The sequence below is a fragment of the Homo sapiens genome, chromosome 1 (assembly GCF_000001405.40).
Source record: "Homo sapiens chromosome 1, GRCh38.p14 Primary Assembly".
NCBI classification, from domain to species: Eukaryota; Metazoa; Chordata; class Mammalia; order Primates; family Hominidae; genus Homo; species Homo sapiens.
In genome coordinates, this window is record NC_000001.11 from 201,905,546 (window position 1) to 201,921,645 (window position 16,100).

The window sequence follows — 16,100 nt, forward strand, 5'->3', positions numbered from 1 at the left end:
AATGAGAACTTGCTGAGAGCAAGGGCCAGAGCCTCTGTGTGCTGCATTCGGCAACCACAGCCCACTGATACCTTGCCAGCCCACACCGTCCCCCACTGAGGTCACCTTCTTCCTTCCTGTGACCCATCACCTGAGGAGGAGGCATCTCCCTCTCTGCAGAGTCATTTGGACCCATGTAGCTGCAAGGGAGGAAGTCTGCAGACAGACCCTGGGGAGAATGGCTCCAGCAGGAGGTTGGAAGATGAGTCTGCCTGTGCTTGCAGAGGTCACTTTCCAGGCACTCGCCTAGGAGAGGGCAGAGCCAAGGAGGGCAGGGCTGACTAGCATTGACTGCACCCTCACAGGTGATACCACTGCCGTGAATTCAGAAGTATTTGTTCCTTTCCCAAAGCAAGACCGAGGTGATGGCAGTTCCGACGGTTTGATGCCACCCTTGCTACGTCCCCTCAATGTGGCCTGGTGATACCTGTGCAGTCTTTTCATCTGGAGGCATCCGGAATGCCCCTAGCTCGAGCTCCTGGCTGAGGGTAGGATCTATGGGGTCTCCAAACTCTGCTTCTAGGAGACTTTTTCTAGGCCTTGGCTAAAGTCCCCTAGGACATTAAAGCTACAGTCTGTGTGGATCTGGAGCTCATTAGAAGACAGCATTTTTACCTTGGCCTAGGCTGTGGCCTACTGCTGGTTTCTCCTTGACCAAAGTTATATTTACCAGGAAAGCCCCAGGGAAATATGTGACATCTCCCAGTCCCACTCTCATGCACAAACTCCTTACCACCTGTCCATCCGCATCCTGCATCAGTCCCCCCACCCGCCTCCACCATGTCTCAGAGCCCCTGAACATTCCCCTGCATTTCCCATGAAGCTGTCCCACCAAGAACTGGGGCTCTGGCCCACTCCCTCCAGCCACCTAGGGACTTCCTGATACCAGGCACTGCAGCTGCCAGTCTCATCTATCTTTACAAGGGAGGGCAGGGAAGAGCTGACTATGGGCTGGAGGGCCTGTCAAAGGTCCCCTGGGACAGCAGATGCCTTACAGGGCTGGTGTGCAGGGCAGGGCAGGCAGCAGGGCCCAGGGCTGGAAGGGACCGGGGGAGTTCACCCACTGCAGTCTCCTGCCGCATTCCATGTGGAGTGCCAAATCTTTTATTGTTTTCCACCAAAAAGAAAGATTCTAGAGTCTCTGGAAAAGAAGTTTAAGGAGGGGCCAGGCACAGTGGCTGACCCCTGTAATCCTGTCACTTTGGGAGGCTGAGGCAGGAGGACTGCTTGAGCCCAGAAGTTCAGGACTAGCCTGGGCAACATAGTGAGTGAGACTCTGTCTCTATTTAAAATAAATAAATAAATATATAGACAAGTTTAAGGGAGGTCCATTGTCCTATGGGGAAAGTTGGATTCCTGGCACCAGCTGTCCTGGGTAGGGGCCGTAATGCCTGTTTCCCTTGGTGGAATGTGGAGCAGGAGTCCTCTACTGAGGCTAGGCCCAGCTCATTAGACATCAAAGATTCAGATCTTGTAACAACTGATATTGCCCCTAGAAAACTACAGGTTCCCTTTACGGCTGCCAGGAAAACTGGGGGCTGTTCCGGAAAAGTTCTGCCCATAGTGGCATATGAGCCCACTGGGTCTTTAGACAGTTGGCCTATGTGCAAATCCCAGCTCTGCCCCTAACTAGCTCTGTGACCTTGGCTGAGACACTTAGCACCTCTGAACCTGTTGTCTCATATGTACAATGGGACTGATCCCTCTGGGGATCCTCACTGGGTTGTAAGTGGTAGAACCAGGACTCAAACCTAGATCCCGATGACAAGAAAGCCTTGAATAGGAGATAGGCTGTAAAAATCTGGGTCCTTCTGAGAAGTGATTAAGCCTCGAGGGCAGGCAGTAGGGCCCCAACCTCCTCCTATCTGAGCCCCTGCCCCCTTTGCTTAGTATCTTGGTATTGTTTAGCAGGGTGAAATTTGTTCTTACCCAGAATGGAACTACATTGTGTGCTTTTCCATGGAAAATGAAATGACCATGTATTAAGCCCTGGAGACCTGCCTGGAGGGCTACAAGCTGGGAAGGGATGAGGCTGCTTTGAGAAGCCTCCCCCAAACCCACCCCAGTCCTATGGTGACAGAGGCCAGGGTGGAGTGGGATAGGGACAGGTATTATCCCCACCAACAATAGCAACTAGCACTTGTAGGGAGCTACACTTGTTGGGCCCTGTGGGTGCCAGGAGTCTGTCCTCTCAAGCCATTCCACCAAGAATCCTGCTGCGGGCCTTGCTCGTTCATCCATTCACGGCCCCATTCACCAAGAGGCTTCTGTCAACACTGTATGAGGGACACAGTGCTACATGAGAAACAGTCTTGCCCTCACAACTTAGGGGACGTGGCCGACCAGGGGACAAGTTCACATCAAAGTGTATGTAGCAGAGGGTGTTGAGGGCATGCCCCCCACCATAGAGCAGGCCTCCCCGCTGCTGAAGAGCTACCGCTTCAGCCAACAGCATTCCTTCAGGCCAGCCACAGAATCACTGCAGCCTCCCCCAAAAGGCCAGCAGCCCCTTTCTTAGCCATTCTCAGACTGAAGTTCTTCAACTCCTGTTCTGGCAGTGGCTCAGGGACTAGGTCTCAGCACCTGCCAGCAACCCTCTTTTTTGGTTATCCCAGCTCTGACCCTTCCCAGCCCATCCCATACCTGCTTCCGCTACTTCAAAGCCCCCACTCTGGTGAAACATTGGCTGTCTCCACTGGCCTGTGCTGGATGAGTTCTAAGGGAACCCTTCCATTCACCCCTCCAAGTTATAAGAGACTTCTGGGGAAACTGTGACCCAGAAATGGGGTTGGAGAAGGGAGAAGAAAATGACAAGTGAGGATGGAGTGCAAGTATAACCTCACCCCCTTAGGTTAACATCTCTGGAAACATACTTTTGGGAATGTTCAAGGGCTTATACACAAAAACCCAAACAGATGCTCAGCTCCTGCCCATACTGGAGCACAGTTAATCCCCTGAAAAACAGGGGCTCAACACAGAATTCCTAATTTGGGGTTGGGGGCTTTGGTATATGTTGTGGGGGTGCTACAGGGCGGCCTTCTTGTGTACTTTCCGAGACTACTGACAGCACTGCATAGCTGGAGCTCCCAGCCCCTGACCAAGGCAGGAGAGAGTAAGAACACTCAGCAAGGGGGTTTACACACCGCAGGTACTCTGGAAATGCTTGGTGATGACAGCAAAGTGCACCATCCCCAAATAACCCACATGGAAACTGTCCGAAATGGAAGGGAGTCAGGCTCTTCCCACATGGCCCCAGCATGGCCCCTCAACTCCAGAGCCCTCAGAGCTCTCAGCCATTCCCTGCTCCCAACCTTAGGCCCTGTTGATAGACAGCATGCGACCCAATCCGCACCCAATAAACCTGACAAGCAACGCTGGAGGCTTGTGCTCTCATTCCGCAGAAGAATGCTGGCCATGTGGGCACAGCCTCCCACATGCTCAGGGCTTCAGAAGGGTCATCCAGGGCACCCCCCAGGGGAACATGTATACCTGGTAAAATGTGGGCTGAGAAGCTAAGGCCCATGCAGTCATGAAGCTACGAAAAGCTGTGCTCCTGCAGGCATCCCAGATGCCCATACTGCTCCATTCCCACCCTGCCTGACCTCTCGGTGGCTTCTCACTGCACTCCAGGAGCCAACCCACTTGTGAGTGTGTGAGGCAACTCGTGGGGGTGGGGCGTAGCATGCAGCCCCCTGGCAAAATGTCTGCAGATGATGGGGTCTCAGGTGTGAGAATGGCCACCCCTTCCATCCAGTGAAGAAACCAGAGAAATTCTAACACTGGAGGAGCTCATTTCATAGCTTTGAGCCCATATTTCTTTCTTTGTTTCTTTTTCTTTTTTTGGGAGGAAGAGACGGAGTCTTATGTTGCAGGCTGGTCTCAAACTCCTGGCCTCAAGCAATCCTCCTGCCTTGGCCTCTCAAGTCCTGGGATTACAGGTGTGAGCTGCCATACCTGGCCTTGAGCCCATATTTCTGAAGGGCATGGTCCCCATCCCTGGTCGCCAGTCCACCTGAGAAGTCAAGTTCCACAACCTGAGTTTAATCCTTTTCCCCAAATCTTTAGTCCAGGGAGTACCCAAGAGCTTCCTAATACCTCACTTCTCCAGCATAACAGTAGCTAACCGTGGTGAGTGCTGGCTGCCATGCCGCCCCAGGTGCCTCTCATCCAGTTATGCACTCATGCAGTCCTCAGATGACTCTACAACGCATCCCCATGTTACAGAAGAAAGTGAAGCCCAAGATTATGCAGCTATTACACGATAAAGCAGGATTCAAGTTCAGGTTCTTAGGCTCTAGAGTCTGAACTTTTAACCTCTATGTTATGCTCTTTGCATTAGTGGGGCTATGTACTAAGCCACTCTTTCACCTGAATGCCTGGTCCAGACACAGCCCTTCACCCCCAGCCACCCAACACTGAAATAAGAATGTTAATCACAATATCCACAGCCATCACTTAGTGTTTACAAGGTGCAAGACACCGTGCTAATAAGTGCTTTACTTAAGTCATTGATGTAATTGACTCCTCAGCACTGCCATCTGAAGTGGGCAGAGCTTGGTGAGGCTCCAGTCTCAGCAAGAGGAGGCTTGAGGGAGGAGCCCTTTTGGGCTGCTGGGAGCCAGGGGCCTTCACATGTGCCCACCTTCACTTCTACCTTGAGGTCTTCCTTTCCCACTGTTTCCTATACGCATTTTTTTTTTTTTTTTTGAGACAGGGTTTCACCCTGTTGCCTAGGTTGGAGTACAGTGGCGCAATCATGGCTCACTGCAGCCTCCGTCTCCCAGGCTCAAGCGATCTTCCCACCTCAGGCTCCTGAGTAGCTAGGACTACAAGCGTGCATGACAACACCTGACTAATTTTTATTATGTTTTGTTTTGTTTTCCAGAGATGCATTTCACCATGTTGCCCAGTCTGGTCTCGAACTCCTGTGCTCAAGCGATTCTCCTGCCTCAGCCTCCCAAAGTGCTGGGATTACAGGTGTGAGCCACCATGCCCAGCCTGTATGCTTTTATCATCATGGTCTTAACAACCATCACATTACTGTGGTGCCTAAGAAATTAACTGCTGCAAATTCACTACCTCTGGGCAGTGTGCTCAGGGGGAGTTACAGTTTCTGGGAGTCGGTGGTAACATTTTCCCCTTTTGCAGATGGTGTCATTCTTTTTTTTTTTTTTTTTTTTTTTTTTTTGAGATGGAGTCTCAGTCTGTCACCCAGACTGAAGTGCAGTGGCACAATCTCAGCTCACTGTAACCTCTGCCTCCTGGGTTCAAGCGATTCTCCTGCCTCAGCCTCCCGAATAGCTGGGATTACAGGTGTTCGCCACCTTGCATGGCTGGTGTCATTCTTAAACTATATCAGTAGTAAGTGGGAGGACTGGAGTTCACACTCAGATCTCTTGGGTTATAGCACATATACTCTTAACTACTATGCTGTGCTCCCCACGGTCACAGTGATACACTAAGGAGTGAATGCCACACTCCTGCCAGGAGCTCCCTGCAAAGCACACAACACAAACCCAAAGAGAGCTATCTGGGCATGTGATCATTTGGCCAGATGCACTCAAGTGCCAAGGACTGGGCTCAGCTCTGGGGACACAGGGATAGATAAGGTATGAATCTCTGCAGAGAGATGGTGAATCGAATGTCACCCCGGAAGTTTCTCCAGCATTCCCTTGGATTTCATGCCAGACTGAGAGGAGGGACCATCTAGAGGAAAAGGTCCAGATGGCTTTTGCTAAGGCAGAGTTAGGGAGAAGGCAGCCTCAAGAAACTAAAGCCAAGGTCAGAAACCCACTGGGGGCTGGGGGCAGTGGCTCACACCTATAATCCCAGAACTTTGGGAGACCGATGTGTGCGGATCACTTGAGGTCAGGAGTTTGAGACCAGCCTGGCCAACATGGTGAAACCCCACCTGTACTAAAAATACAAAAATTAGCCGGGCGTGGTGGTGGGTGCCTGTAATCCCAGCTACCCGGGAGGCTGAAGCAGGAGAATCCCTTGAACCCGGGAGGTGAAGGTTGCAGTGAGCCAAGATCATGCCACTGCACTCTAGCCTGGGCGACGGAGTGAGACCACCCTGTCTTGAAACAAACAGACAAACCCATTGGGCTTCTAATTTTCACACCATCAGGAGTCAGGGTTTATGGCCTAGGGACCTCCACTGTATGCCACCTTACTCTGTGACTTCCCTGTGTTGCTTTCCCCAGTGCTTGGCAATGAGACTCAAATGAAAAGGCCTGTGCTTAACTTTGAGGCCAAAAAGGAAATAAATGGAAGTAGGAAAACTATGCTCCACAACATAATAAGGCTGGGAAGAGGCAACCCGAAGAATACATGAATGGCACTAACTACAGGGAGCCTGGGGCACAGAGCAGGGCCTGTGGAGGAGGCCTGGCTGAGCACTAACAAGATCCACAGGGGGTTTCTGGCAGAAGCAAACAGTAAGCCTGAGAAAGCCCTTCCAGTCTGCTAATGTATGTGGAGCACAGAGCCAGGAGGTTGCACCTGGAAGGAGTGAAGGAAAGTTCCATGCAGGCAGAGACATTTGAGCTGGTTCCTGAAGGAGGAGTGGAAGTTTGGTAAATGGATGGAGCAGAGCATGTAGAGGAAGAGGCTTCCCTCTGCAGCCTCATCTACTTCCTTATACCCAAGCTTCATCCTACAACATTGTCCCTTCGCACAGGCATTGCTCCACCCCATTTTTACCCGGCCTCACTCTACTCATGGTCCAGGATCAATGTCAGCATCAAGCATGGTGTGCTTTGGGAAGTGACCCCTGACCCCCAAGCCCTTCTCCTCCCCCTCCCCCACAGCTCCCTTCACTCCCTCCCTTATCTTGGCCCCTATCACTCTGTTTCTTTGTCCATCTCCCCTGCAGGATCAGGGACATGAAATATGGTTTATTACTGACTCGATGCCTGGCACACAGTATGATGCCTTGGCACATAGTAGATGCTGAGAATTGCTGAATGAATGAATAAGAAAATGGTGTCAGCCAGGTGCGGTGGCTCATGCCTGTAATCCCAGCACTTTGGGAGGCCAAGGTGGGTGGATCACCTGAGGTCGGGAGTTTGAGACCAGCCTGACCAACATGGTGAAACCCCATCTCTACTAAAAACACAAAAATTAGCCGGGCGTGGTGGCGGGCGCCTGTAATCCCAGCTACTCCGGAGGCTGAGGCAGGAGAATCACTTGAACCCGGGAGGCAGAGGTTGCAGTGAGCCGAGATGGCACCACTGCACTCCCAGCCTAGAGGTGACAGTGTGGGTGACAGAGTGAGACTCCATCTCAGAAAAAACGAAAACAAAAACAAACTTCCTGGAGTCCACACTGAGAAGGACACCAGGGTGTTTGGTTACCTGCTAAGGCCTGCAAACTTGAGGATGTCCAGGGCTGTGAGGAAGGCGGTGGGAGCTGAGAGGCAGCGAGGCAAGGCAGGCCAGCTCCCAGAGCCTGCCCACCACTGACGTTCCCTAAAGGAATGTAGTAAACAAGGAGAAGCCCAGCCTCACTGGGCCAGAGGTGGGAAGCTGGGACCAGGCGGGGGACTGACAGCCATTTTATTGTCCATCTTCACCCTTTCTCCCAAAGGACTGAGCAGCTGGAAAGAAGTTGAGTTTGTTTTAGCAAACAAGAGACTTGTCAGCATCAAGCAAAGACACAACTCCCAGAACTGTCCTCTGTTAGCTACTTTCTTTAGTGGCTTTTCCTTGGATCACCACTCAGAAAGTGATGTTTCAGGCTGGGCACAGTGGCTCATGCATGTAATCCCGGCACTTTGGGAGGCCGAGGCGGGTGGATCACTTGAGGTCACCAGCTCGAGACCAGCCTGGGCAACATGGTGAAACCCCATCTCTACCAAAAATACAAAAAATTAGCCGGGCATGGTGGTCAGCACCTGTAATCTCAGCTACTCAGGAGGCTGAAGCAGGAGAATCGTCCGAAGTCAGGAGGCAGAGGTTGCAGTGAGCTGAGATTGCACGACTGCACTCCAGCCTGAGCGACAGAGCCAGACTCTGTCTCAAAAGAAAAAAAATAAAAACTATGCTGTTCCAGGACAAGGCTCGCCTCCTTAATCCTCAATTCTCATCTAGATCATTGCTAACCCTTTTGCTGCTGAGGAAGGTATGTGGGCAAGAGTGAGGCTTAAGCCCTGCCAAATGGAGGCTGCTGCCTGTGAAATGGGGACACCTCCAAAATTTGAATTCAGAGTTTCCTTCCTGTTTAAGGCTGAATAGTATTCCATTGTATGTATATACCTTGATAATTTTAGCATTTTATGTAAATTATACATAAAATGTATAATTTATGTAGCTTGTTTATCTATTCATCCATTGATAGACACTTGGGCTGTTTTTGGCTATTGTGAATAATGCTGCTATGAACATATCTGTGTGGGTCCTTGCTTTCAACTCTTTGGGAGTGTAGATGGACCCAAAAGTGGAACCGCTGGCCATGAGACCCAAATTCTGACTTCTCTGCACCACCCACCTTGACTGCTTCACCTCTTGTTCTATCCAGCACGTCAGTCATCACCTTGCCAGTATCCTCAACCCCAGTCACACGTGCCAGCCAAAGCCCCAACCCTACAGCCAAAGCACTGACTGCAGGCCTGTGTGGCTCCTCCTCCCAGGTGCTGGGCTATCTGGGGAGAGTAGCCCACACCCCACGTGGTGCCGTCCACTGTCTGCAGCCCCTGTGAACCCTAACACTCACAAGTGGCGCCAATGCTGAGGACCAGCTTGAGAGTCAGAAGGCCAGGGTTCCACACTTTGCTCTTATGTCAACATGGACAGGTTAATTTGCCTTCCTCATCTGTAAAACGGGGATCACATCTGGTACGGGGCGGTATTAAGGCTTCATTGAGGTGAGTGGATAACACATCCACTTCCTGTGGCTGCACAGGAAGCTTTCAATAAAAGGTAACTGTCATTATGGGTCTAGCTCTCTCCTGGTTCTTCATAGCATCTATCCGAATTCTTCTCCCTTCTCTTAGTATCTCTCGTCCCACTCCACCCCTATTCTTGGCAGACAATCTCCTCTAATTTCTTCCCAGGCAGACAGAGGAAACAACCCATGGCAATTCTCCAACTTCCTGCCACCTCTTCTACAAACTCACCTCCAGGCTCATCTTTCACCTTCCCTCTCCTCCTGCCCAGGCTCACCCCTCCCCACGCACTCTGGTGCCCACCCCTCCTCCCCACATTGCACTCCCGCACCCTCTTCCACAGCCTTAGCCTCTCCCTCTTTCCTGGCCCCTTCCCACCACCCTTTAAACCTGCCCATCTCTCCCGGTTAATCAGATCCTCCTTCTGTCCACAGTCCCTTCCAGCTGTAGCGCCAGCCTTCCCGTATACCCAAACTTCCTCAAAGAGCTCTACTTTTTGATCCGTATTCATTCCTCAATCCAACACACTCTTGCCTCACCCCCAACATTCCATGGAAATTAGTTTCATCCAGATCACTTCTGACCCTCCTGTCACTAAGTCGGATTTATCTTTTATTTCATATATTGCTCAAACTGCGTGGGAAGCATCTGGCGCTATTGGCCAGGTCCTTCCTTCAAAACGCTTCCCCATCGGTTTCCACCGCAGCCTTCATGGCTTTCCTCCTAGCTCTCTGATAGCTCCTTTAGGCCTCCTTCAAGGACCCTCTTCCTTGAGACATGTGGGTGTTGGCAAGGTCTTATTTTAGGCCTCCTTTGTTTTCACCTTTAGAGCCTCTCACCGGATTATCTCATCCATTCTGATGGCATCAGCTGCATTCTACGTACTGATGTCTCTCAAAGCTGGATCTCTGGGCCAGACACTACTAGGAAGGTAGTACCGTCTAATGAATATCTTGGTTTGTGTGCCCCAAAGTACCTCAAAAACTGGACTCCTTATCTTCCCCCACTGCCTTGCCGACCCCTGCACTATTCCCTATCTGGGCAAGTGGCTCCTCTAAACACCCAGTGACTCCAATCAGAACCCGGCTGGGAAGAGGAAAGGAGGGATCTGTGGGGAGGCAACGTGGACCCCTCTGCACCCCGCTCTGCACTCACTCACCCTTCCCTACCAGTAGCCCAAGTGATTTTGGGGGAAGGCTGGGAAATCGACCTATTATATACTCCCTCGTTACCTGCACACAGATACTACAGCCTGAACCCCACTCAGATCAATCCCTCTCCTCCATCCTCACAGATGTTCCCTTGGTCCAGGCCACTATCACCTCTCATGGGGTTATAGCAACAACCTCCTCTCGGTTTCGCTGACCTCCTCCAGGGCGATCCTTGCACGGCAGCCCCAGGGACCTTGCTGAAGGCCAGACCCATCCGAAGCCTTTCAGTGTCTAATGTCTGAACTTTTTTTTTTTGATACAAGGTCTCATTCTCTCCTCTGGGCTGCAGTGCAGTGGTGTGACACGGCTCACTGCAGCCTTGACTTCCTCCAGCTTGTGATCCTCCCACCTCAGCCTCCTAGGTAGCTGCTACTACAGGCATGCACCACCACACCCAGCGGATTTTTGTATTTTTTGTAGAGACGGGGTTTCGCCATGTTGCCCAGGCTGGTCTTAAACTTCTGGGCTCAAGCGATCCACACACCTTGGCCTCTCGGAGTGCTGAGATTACGGTGTGAGCCACCACACCTGGCTTGAACTACTTTTATGATCAGAAAAATACAACAAAGGCACATCTATTCCAGGACTTTGGAAGGTCAGGGTGAGGGGAAGCTGGAGCCCAGGAGTTCAAGACCGTCCTGGGCAACATGGTGAAACTCCATCTCTACAAAAAATACAAACATTAGCCAGGCGTGGTGGCATGTGCTTGTAGCCCTAGCTACCTGGGAGGCTGAGGTGAGAGGATCACCTGAGCCAAGGGAGGTCGAGGTTGCAGTGAGCCGTGATCATGCCACTGCACTCCAGCCTGAGCAACAGAGAGAGACCCTGTCTCAAAAAACAAAACAAAACAAAACAAAACAAAAACCAACAAAAGCTGTTTTATGAAAAAGAAACAAAATTGTCTTTAAATAACTGAGTTTCACAGCAAAAACAAAACAAAATTAAAAACCAAGAGGCATCAGGCCGTGGTGTGGGGAGGAGGGATGGATGGGGCCAGAGGTGGGAGGGAGGGGATTCCCCGTCACTGTGCTCAGTCTTCAGCCCGGCTGTGCTGTGCCCAGGACCTGCCTCGCAGCCTGACCTTCGCCTGGCTCTGTTCCAGCAATTACACATCAGCCCCGGTGATAAACATCAGTGCTGAGCAGAGGGCCAAAGGGTCTCAGGCACTGCCTCCAGCTCCAGCATAAACAGAAACGCCATGATTCATTTTTACCTCCCAAGATGATCTCCAGGGGTCGGAGTGGCGCAATGGCAGCCAAGAAAAGGGCAGCGGTTTGTGAACCTGGGAAAAAAAGGGCATTTTCTGATGCAGTCCTGCGGGAGACCAGGCTTTACAAGAGGAGTGAACGCCACCATCTCAGGGCCTGCTCTGTCTTTGTAGGGAAGGGGAGCAAAGAAACCTTCTGGAAAAGACAAGGATAATGTGCAGATGTGGGTGGCTGGGCACTTACACTGCATGTGTCACCAAACTCTGCCAAGGCTGGGAGGGTTCTTGCCTGCCTTGAGTCTTTAAGGACCAGGGTTTCTAGTGAAAGGGATGGTAAATGGGGGAAGGTGGCCTGACCTCAAAAGCCTGCCAAGAGCCATCAAGAGGCACCAGAAAGGAAGGCACGGTGAGCGGTGTCTGTGTTTCACCTAGGCCCTTACCCCTACCACCAAGGCTTCTGCATTCACTGCAAGTAGAGAAAGACAGAGGCGTTTTGAGGTGAGGGCATGCAACACAGCCTGCAATAGCTAAGACTTCACAGTCAGCGCCATTCTGGCTTCTGCCTGGGGGTTATGCAGAACCCATCACTAGGGGGATGAAGGTTCTTGTGGCAGATCTTCTCGGCCAATGAAGGGTCAACTCCATTGCTCTCAGCAGAACTAAATGCTTTGCCAACTGGTCTGGTGACTCATACTGGGAAGCTTGTAGCAAACCCCATTTTTGGAGAAACCGGGAAATCTCTTTGGGGAGATAAACAAGTCACTGTAGCACTCTGCTCTCTGAAGTGCCTGGCTAGTACTTTCTGCTTCTTCATTTTATCCCAGCACCAAGGAAAACCCAAGCAAGTCTGGGAAATGTTGTAAAGATCTACACAAATGCAAGCTATTTGTCCCAGGCTTCTGGGTCCCACTTAGGTCCCGGAGGGTGGCAGAAGGAACATACTGTTCTTTTACTGCCTGGGGCTGTGAGCAGGAGGCCTGGCTTTCATACAGCCCCTCTCCTGTTCCTTCTAAACAGAAAAGGGTACATTGGCTAAAGCAGGAGCAGCTTTATGGTGTCTGACCTCTGCAGTGCTCCAGGGCCCCATGCTCAGAGGGCCCTACGCTTGGTTTAATTCTCTGCTGTCATCGTCTTGAAAGTTTTAGTAATTCTTGAGCACATTTTCATTTTGCGCTAAGCCCTGCAAATTCTGTAGCCAGTCCTAGGCCTAAGAGGCCAGGGATCAGGGATGGTGCAGCTCTCTGTCTTCCCGCCTTCTCCCTCTTCAGGAATGGCTCTCCCACCCCACAGACACTGGGACATCAGCCTTGACGCTTCCTTTTTCCCTCACCACGTTCCCTTCATCCCACCTTCCTAACATAGCTGAGATTAGCTTCCTCACATCCCCTCACCATTGCTGTGTTTGCGGCCTCCATCATCTCTTGCCTCCCCACTGAACCCCCTGCCTCCTGTCTTCCTTCTCTTTGAGTGCACTCTGTCTCCAGAAAGACCTTTCAAAATGTGATTCTGATCCATGGCTCCCATGCTTTCAGGATGAAGTGCAGACTTTGTAGCATGGCAACAAAGCCCTCCGTGACCTGGCCTGTGCCTGCCTCTGTGCGCCCTCCCCTTCCTGCCTGCACTCTGGTTACAGTGAGGAACAGCCACGCTGGGCTCTCTTGGGTCTTGCTGCCCTACCCCATGCTGGGCTCTCTTGGGTCTTGTTGCCTATGCATGCTGCTCCTGCCACACAGGATGTCCTCTCGCTTTCTTCTCTGCCTGGCTAACACTTCTTCTTTTGTTCCTCCTCCTTCTTTTTAACTTTATATGTGGAAAAGTTCGACTGTACAACAAACTAGAGAGAACAGCACAATGAACCTCAAGGTACCCATTGCCCAGCTTCAGCGATTCTCTACATATGGCCAATCTTGTTTCATCTGATGCCCACCCATTTTTGTCACAATCTCACATTATTTGAAAGCAAATTCCAGGTGTATCATTTCATGCATACATATTTCAGTGTGTACTCTATTTCTTTTTTAGGGACAGGGTCTCACTCTGTCACCCAGGCTGGAGTGTAGTGGTATGATCATAGCTCACTATAACCTCAAACTCCTGGGCTCAAGTGATCCTCCTGCCTCAGCTTTCCGAGTATCTAGGACTACAGGCATGTGCCACCATGCCTGGCTAACTTTTATTTTTGTAGATCTGGGGTCTTGCTATGTTGCTCAGGCTGGTCTCAAACTCCTGGCCTCAAGCAATCCTCCCGCCTTGGCCTCACTTTTGCTGGGATTACAGGTGTGAGCCACCATGCCTGGCCTCAGTGTGTATCTCTAAAAGACAGAAACTTTTTTTTTTTTGGGGGGTCAGAGCCTCAGTCCTTCACCCAGGCTGGAGTGCAGTGGTACTCACTGCAACCTCCGCCTCCTGGGTTCAAGCAATTTTCCTGCCTCAGCCTCCCAAGTAGCTGGGATTACAGGTGCCCACCACCATGCCCGGCTGATTTTGTATTTTTAGTAGAGACGGGGTTTCACCATGTTGGCCAGGCTGGTCTCAAACTCCTGACCTCAGGTGATCTGCCTGCCTTGGCCTCCCAAAGTGCTGGGATTACAGGCATGAGCCACCACGCCTGGCCCCTTTTCTTCTTTTTTAACCTGACTCTGTGTCAGAAAGCCCATTTGGTCCTGTTATTCCCAGGGACTGTATAAAGCAAGGTGACCCCTTCTCTTCTATGTGAGTGCTCTGTAGGTATTGGGTCCTCTCCCTGAGGCTGCTTTTCTGTGGGCTAGAAAAGTTCATCTGTTAGACTAAGCCTGCCATTCCAGCCTGACTAGAATTTTCTAAATCCTGGTTCTGCTGTTTAAAAGCTCACTGTGACTCTCAGCTTCAGATAATCTGCCAGTGTGGTACATGTGCCTTCTGGATCTTTTTGTCCACTAACCAGGGCAGACTCCAGGGCAGAACTCTCTGGTATCCTACTACAGGCCTCCAGGGAGCCACCAATCAGCATCCACCTGCATCACCTTCCAGTCCACATCTCTCCATCCTGGCCACTAAACTATTGTAAGCAGCCTTTTTCAGTGTCTTCCTAAAGTCTCCAGAAGAGCCCAGGACTTCAAAGAGTAGAAGGAATATATTGGCTTCAATGCCATCTCCACCCGCCACTGGCTCTCTCTCTTTTTTTTTTTTTTTTTTTTTTTTTTTTGAGACCAAGTTTTGTTCTTGTCACCCAGGCAGCTGGGGTGCAATGGCATGATCTTGGCTCACTGCAACCTCAACCTCCGGGGTTCAAGTGATTCTCCTGCCTCAGCCTCCCAAGTAGCTGGGATTACAGGCACCCACCACCACGCCTGGTTAATTTTTGTATTTTTAGCAGAGACAGGGTTTCTCCATGTTGGCCAGGCTGGTCTTGAACTCCTGACCTCAGACGATCCGCCCGCCTCAGCCTCCCACCCACCATTGACTCTCTGACTGGGGATTACTACCCCAGTAAAATGACATACTTTCCCAGGCCTTGTGAATTGTTCTGGAAAGACATCATGCTACAGGGTCAATACAACTCCTAAATGCAGCTCCCTTTTAGCAGCTGAGGCCCTTGGAGACACCGGTTTTTCCTATGCCAAGGCCACAGAGACCAGAATTCCACTTGCTTGCTGAGGAAGTCAATCATAGTTGAGAAATAGCTGAGGAGTAAGCTGAGTCTTTAAGCTCAAGGACAATTAGGAGGTGGGTCTGGATATTCTACTGGAAGGGAGAAAGAAAAGCCAAGACCTACTGGGAAGACAGGGAGCAAACAAGGATGTCAAGCCATTAAATCAAGGAGGCCAAGTGGCCTCTACACAGTGCAGGACCCAGCGAATATAGAATAGGGGGTGGGAGGCTGGGCGCGGTGGCTCACGCCTGTAATCTCAGCACTTTGGGAAGCCAAGGCAGGAGGCTTGCTTGAGCCCAGGAGTTTGAGACCAGCCTGGGCAACATAGTGTGACCCTGTTTCTAAAAATAAAAATAAATAAATAAATAAAAAAGTAAGAAAGAAGAGAAAAAAAGAAAGGAAATGATGAGATCTTGGACCAGGCTGAGCAGTGAACACAGAGGAGTGGAGATGCATTCCATGGACATTTCTAGGGTACAGTTAATAAGATTCAGTGAAGTGGACAATGCCGAGGAGAAGTGGAGGATGACTCCCTGATTTCCAGTTTGGTTGCCTGGTTAGAGAGTGATGCTTATAACCATGGCGGGGAATATGGAGCGGGGAGATGAGGGTGGCACTTGAGATGATCAACTGTTTTGGCCATGACAAAATTTAAATGCCTAACAGGTTGGCATTAATAAAGATCTGGGCTGGGCGCAGTGGCTCACACCTGTAATCCCAGCACTTTGGGAGGCTGAGGCGGGCAGATCACGAGGTCAGGAGTTCGAGGCTAGCCTGGCCAGCATAGTGAAACCCCATCTCTACTAAAAATACAAAAATTAGCTGGGCATGGTGGTGCGAGCCTGCAGTCCCAGCTACTCGTGAGGCTGAGGTTGGAGAACTGCTTGACCCCAGGAGGTGGAGGTTGCAGTGAGCTGAGATTGCACCACTGCCCTCCAGCCTGGGCGACAGAGTGAGACTCCATCTCAAAAAAAAAAAAAAAAAAAAAAAAAGATCTGGGGCTCAGAAAGGAGATCTAGGCTTGACAGGTAGGTTTGGGAGTCATTGGTGTATACGTAGCAATGAAAACCACGGGAGTAAATATGGTGACTCTGAAAAGTGAGTTATCAGGAAGAGGAAAGGGAC

The 16,100-nt window shown here is 50.9% G+C and overlaps 1 protein-coding gene across 1 annotated transcript in view, besides 1 other annotated feature; it reads right to left on the bottom strand.

The window, feature by feature from the left end:
• LMOD1 (leiomodin 1) overlaps positions 1-16,100 on the bottom strand; it is a 50,093-nt gene that overhangs the window by 9,090 nt on the left and 24,903 nt on the right. The window lies entirely within an intron of this gene.
• Positions 8,664-9,164: an enhancer, noted in NCBI's record as "H3K4me1 hESC enhancer chr1:201883337-201883837 (GRCh37/hg19 assembly coordinates)". NCBI's record gives its function as "activates a minimal SCP1, AML or CMV promoter by ChIP-STARR-seq in primed H9 embryonic stem cells {active_cell/tissue: H9 hESC(primed)}" and the evidence as "EXISTENCE:reporter gene assay evidence [ECO:0000049][PMID:30033119]".